General features: G+C 37.4%; 2 annotated features.

Moving 5' to 3' along the window:
* Positions 389-1588: an enhancer, noted in NCBI's record as "CDK7 strongly-dependent group 2 enhancer chr9:81637359-81638558 (GRCh37/hg19 assembly coordinates)". NCBI's record gives its function as "activates an origin of replication core promoter dependent on BRD2, BRD4, P300/CBP, MED14 and CDK7 cofactors, with strong dependence on CDK7, by STARR-seq in HCT116 cells {active_cell/tissue: HCT116}" and the evidence as "EXISTENCE:reporter gene assay evidence [ECO:0000049][PMID:35650434]".
* Positions 3890-5089: an enhancer, noted in NCBI's record as "MED14-independent group 3 enhancer chr9:81640860-81642059 (GRCh37/hg19 assembly coordinates)". NCBI's record gives its function as "activates an origin of replication core promoter dependent on BRD2, BRD4, P300/CBP and CDK7 cofactors, and independent of MED14, by STARR-seq in HCT116 cells {active_cell/tissue: HCT116}" and the evidence as "EXISTENCE:reporter gene assay evidence [ECO:0000049][PMID:35650434]".

Raw genomic sequence — 5089 nt, forward strand, 5'->3', positions numbered from 1 at the left:
AAGATCAGTTTCACTGGGTTAATATCAAAGTGTTGGCAAAGCTGGTTCTTCTCAAGGCACTGAGGAGAGGACCTGTTTCCTTACTTTTTCGGCTTCTAGTGGCCACCTGTATCTTTTGACTTGCGCCTCATTCTCTGTCTTCAAAGTGCGTCATCCCAATCTCTGATTCTGTCATCACAGCACCTTCTGCTTTGACCCTGAACTCGCCTGTCTCTTTTTTATAAGGACCATTGTGAGTCTATCAGGCCCATCCAGATGATACGTGATAATCTACCCATCCAAAGTTCCTAATTAATCACAATTGCAAAGTCTCTTTTGCCATATAAGGTAGCATTTTGTTTCTGAAGATTAGGACATGGACATAATGGGGGGGCTGGTATTCAGCCTACCGCAGAAGCCATTGAATTTGTTCAAGCAGGGAAAAGGGCACGTTCAGATTTGTGTTTTTAAAAGATTCTCCAGTTTTCTTGTAAAGGATGAATAGAAAGAGGGCCAAGTATGTTTGTGAACCAGTTTGGGAGGCCAATGCTGGGTTCTGGCAAGGGAAGCAGAAAAATAACTTCGTAACAAAGAAGGGAAAATAACATTTTGGCTAAAAGAATGCAAGACTGTTAGAGGTAAAAAGAAGTTTAGAGAACACTATCAGTGCTGTACTGGGTCTGGTTTGGTACTAGATTGCAAGAGCTGAAGTGTTCACCTATCCCAGCTCCACATTCAGTGGCATGTTGATAGCTTGGTATTGGCCACGGGGGGAGTATTTACACCATGGAAATTGGCCAACACTACAAATCAGGACATTTTTTCCCCCAAAGATCCAATGTCACAGAGTACTCCACTGACATTATGTAACCTACCAATTGAGCTAAGTCGTCTCCCTCTCTTCCAGGGGTCTGCTTCCAGTAATATCAAGCTCACTCCTAATCCTGCTGTTGAACAGTCCTGATTCTTAGAAGTTTCTTTGTGGAGACAGACCAAATGCTAATAGTGGCTGATTTTTCAGGTTAGGAATTTTTCCTTCCACTTCAGTGTTTTCTATGAGTTTTACAGTAAGCATGCAATACTTTTATAATTAGAAAACAAGTCAGCTTTACTTTTAAGTATTCATTAAAAAAACTACCAACTACCACATGAACGAGGACATGATGGCAAACTTGTTTTATGGTACGGATGACTAGTTTATGATCTAATCACTAAAAAATGTTTTCCTAGCCACCAGCTATGTGTGAGTTAGTCTTTGAATTTCTTGTGGAATTTGTTACAAGGCTTGGTCTCTTGATATATGTTCAAGACAGGGAGGAAGAGGATCAGAGTGGTGAAAATGAGAACAACAAAGAATACCTGCAAGTAGTAAGTATTGGAACATATACAATTACAGAATATAAAACACGTCATGAGAGAGTGGCAAAGCAATTTCACCTTGGCATTACACATGGTCTCAAGGCAATAGGAAGTGAGCAAGGGTATGATCCCTGGAGCAAGACTTCCTGAGTTCAAATTCCAGCACTACCACTGGTTACATGTGCTCTCTGGAAAAGGACTAAAACTCTCTCTGCCTCAGTTTCTTCATTTCATTTATGAAATGGAGGTAATGATAGTTACCCATAGCATTGAGTATTTGTGAGATTTAAATTAGTTACTCCATGTGAATCCCCTGGAAGAATGCTTGGCACACATTAAACACTCAAAAAGTGTCATTTATTTATTTGTTGGCATTCAACTGCACATATTCTCATTTATTTCAACATAAATTTTACTACAGGAAAAGCCATTTAAAGATTTATTTTAATTATAGCACTCTGCCACCTTCTTTCCCCAATGGATCTATCCAACTGAGAAAATGAGAGTGATTTAACCAAGTAAAATTGATGTAAATTTTTTTCCAAATATGTTAGATACTTGTTTTTTCATATTTGTGTATTGAGCTTTAGTCCAACCCTGTATGGTTCCCCAGTGATTTATAAGCATTACTGCTTATTTGCATATTAAATTCCCAAAGAATGCTACTCCAGCGACTTGATTCAGGTATTTCTTCCTCTAGACTTTTTCTCTCCCCAGTTGAATACACACACCCCTTGCTCTTCATTCTTTCTGGCAAGTTTTCTAAGGTGTGTACCAAGTTTTTGAGGAGCTGAATATCACGTTGCCTTGAGTCAAACAGGAGCCAGCTGGCACCATTTATCTCTTCAAATTACAAGAAAATGTGAGAAACAACAGGGTGTCTATGTGGGGTCCTGCAGAGCCCTAAAGGGCAGCTACGTGTGAAAGAGTCTATCATGGCAATGAGCTCGAGAATTACCTGTAATCCTGGAAGCTTCCAACTTGACAAAACTTATCTCAATGTGGTTTCTTGATCAGATTTTTAGATTTTTTTTTCTACCTTATCCAGCTACATCTTCAAAAGTTAGATGTGTTTGTGAGAGTGATAATGGTGGGAGGAAATTCATTTTGTTACTTTTTTGCTGGAATCAATGCAGTTTTTTGAAGGCTCCGTGAGATTCCAGTAGATATTAGACGTTTAAGTTTCCTAATTATTTATTATTTTTGTTGAATTTCATCACATCATCTCTTGAGGTAGGCTGTTTTATAGTGCATCACCTTGAGAAGAAACAAACACTCCCTCATAAGCATTTGAAGTCCCATGTAAGTTTAATATCTCAGTAAAAACTCATAAAGGATTTTTATTCGAGTGAAAATGTTATAACACAATCTATTTGAAACCTCATACAGAAAGATTAGCCAAGATGAATATATGCATGATATTTTTAGGAAGTCAAAATAAGTAGAAATTTCTTAGCACTTCTTTTTGTGTATGCCTTAGTGAAAGAAGAAATTACATAAGAAAAATCATAAATGTTAAATCTGGATTATTAGAAGGCATAAAGGCTTATCCTAGAATAGACTTTTTCTCACATATTCTTGTTACTACATTTAAGAAAATATAAGAACACAAAGACAGGATAATTCATTTTAAAATGTACATAATTATAAAATGCAAGGGAGCTGTTTGAAAAGGGTATAACCTTGAAAAAGGTTTATAGATTTAGACTAAATGAAAAAAAACTTTAGGAATTATAAATTTTTCCTGTTGCATTAAAAAACAGATTAAATATTTCAGAGACTGATTCAGAAATCAGTATAATAAATAAAAGAAAACTATGGGACACTATTACTGAGTTCTCTAGGAGCTTGAAGAAAGAAAATTTATGTGCTTCCTTACTTTTTAAAATGCACAAATCTTATATTTGTAGAGAAGTCAGTTTAACTTTGATAACTGGGTAGATACTGGAACTAACCATCAAGCAGTTTATAATCCCCTATAAAAGCACACCATTCTGGGTCACGATCAACATTGCTTTGCAGAAAGTAGATTTTGGACAAGATTCTTCAAATATGATAAAATAAAAATTTCAGGATGCATTGCAAGATGGATAATATACAATAAAAATACACATGAAAACTTTGAAATTGTGATTCTACTCTGTATGTCATTTTTAGCACGCCAGAATTTTCTCCAGCATACTACTGGAGACGTGGTTCTTCAACTTTTGGTCTTAGGACCCTATTATATTATTAAATTATTTTGAAGTACCCAAAGAGCTTTTCTTTATGTGGAATATAGCTACTATTAATATTTACTGTATTGGAAATAAAACTGAGAAACTTCTAAAACATAAGCATGTACAAGCACACATTCCATTAGCCAACAGATTGAGAATATCAACACGTCAGGTAGCCTTTTAGACAATTCCGTTGTACACTCATGAGAGAACAAGAGTGCAAAGGCAAATAAGTTTCTAGTATCACCACAAAAATAGTTGTGACTTCACAGACCTCCAGGTATCAGGGGCCCCAGTGGTTCCCAGAGCACACTTTGAGATCACCATGCTGCAGGGTTGGTAACTGAGAGATTATCAGACATCTCAGTGAGAGGAACCAAGAGTGACTCAAGGAAAGAATTTATGAAATATCCCTCAAGGTGTAAATTCTGTCTGGCTAAAAGTTAATATTTTTATTAGAGATCCCTGGGTATTATCTTTAAGCCTATGATTTTTATTCAAGGAAAAAATAATATTAGAAAGGTAAGGGGTAGGGGAGAAGGATTTGGTCATTATTTGATGAACATTTATTAACTAATCACATTATATAGGAAGCACTGGAGAGACAGAAAAGATCTTAAAGACCTTAAAGCTGTTCCTTGACATGTTCACCATCAGGGAGAGAGATCTATGTGCGCTAATAGAGTTGTGAACAGAAGTCTCAGGCAACCCAGTGGAAGGAAGAGTGATTTGTGCAAAATCATTTCAGGAAGTCTTCATCAAAGAGGCGATGCTCATGACCAGGTGTGCACAAGCAGTGCACATGCTGAGCAGAAGCACTCCAGGCAGTGAGTTCAGAGAAAAGTGCTGCAGGCAGAGCGTGACTCTGGGCAGAAAGACATGCAAGGGCATGTCTCCAAGGAATGGTGATCTTTCAGTAGCTGGAGCAGCAGGTGTTGTTGGGGTAGAACATGTGGGAGAGGTTAGGTGTGACTGCAGAAGGCTTTTTATGCTCACTGAGAAGAGTGGGCAGTGCCCTGTAGAGAACAGGAAGCTGCTGAAGTTTTTTTTAGCAGACGGATGATTTTTCAGAATCATGTTTCAGAAAGTCAGCTCAGTGGCTCTGTGGAGGAGAAAAGGGATGAAGCTGAAACTAGAGCTTGGAAGCGCAATTTGGAGCATCTTGGAATAGTCTAAGCTGGAACACTGTGTTGCATGGGCTCTGAAATCAGTCTGCTTAGGTTCAAACGTTAATTACTGCCTTCATTTGGGGACCTCAAACAATTAGCTAGCTATAGAGTAGAGGAGTGCCAGTAGCTACTGTAAGAATGACTTGATACAATAAAATAAAGTATAATGAAACATTAATGCACTATAACTTTGTAATCGATATTAGTTATCATTATGGGTGCATAAAATTATAGGGAAGAGGGAAAACTTGGAGCAGATTCTAGAGATATTTAGGAGTTAGGATTCACAGGATTTTTGTGAAAATGTTGGATGGTGGTGATAGATGGTGAAATTATTTCAGATGTTTAGATTCAAGAGAATTC

The sequence above is a fragment of the Homo sapiens genome, chromosome 9 (assembly GCF_000001405.40).
Source record: "Homo sapiens chromosome 9, GRCh38.p14 Primary Assembly".
Classification (NCBI taxonomy): Eukaryota; Metazoa; Chordata; class Mammalia; order Primates; family Hominidae; genus Homo; species Homo sapiens.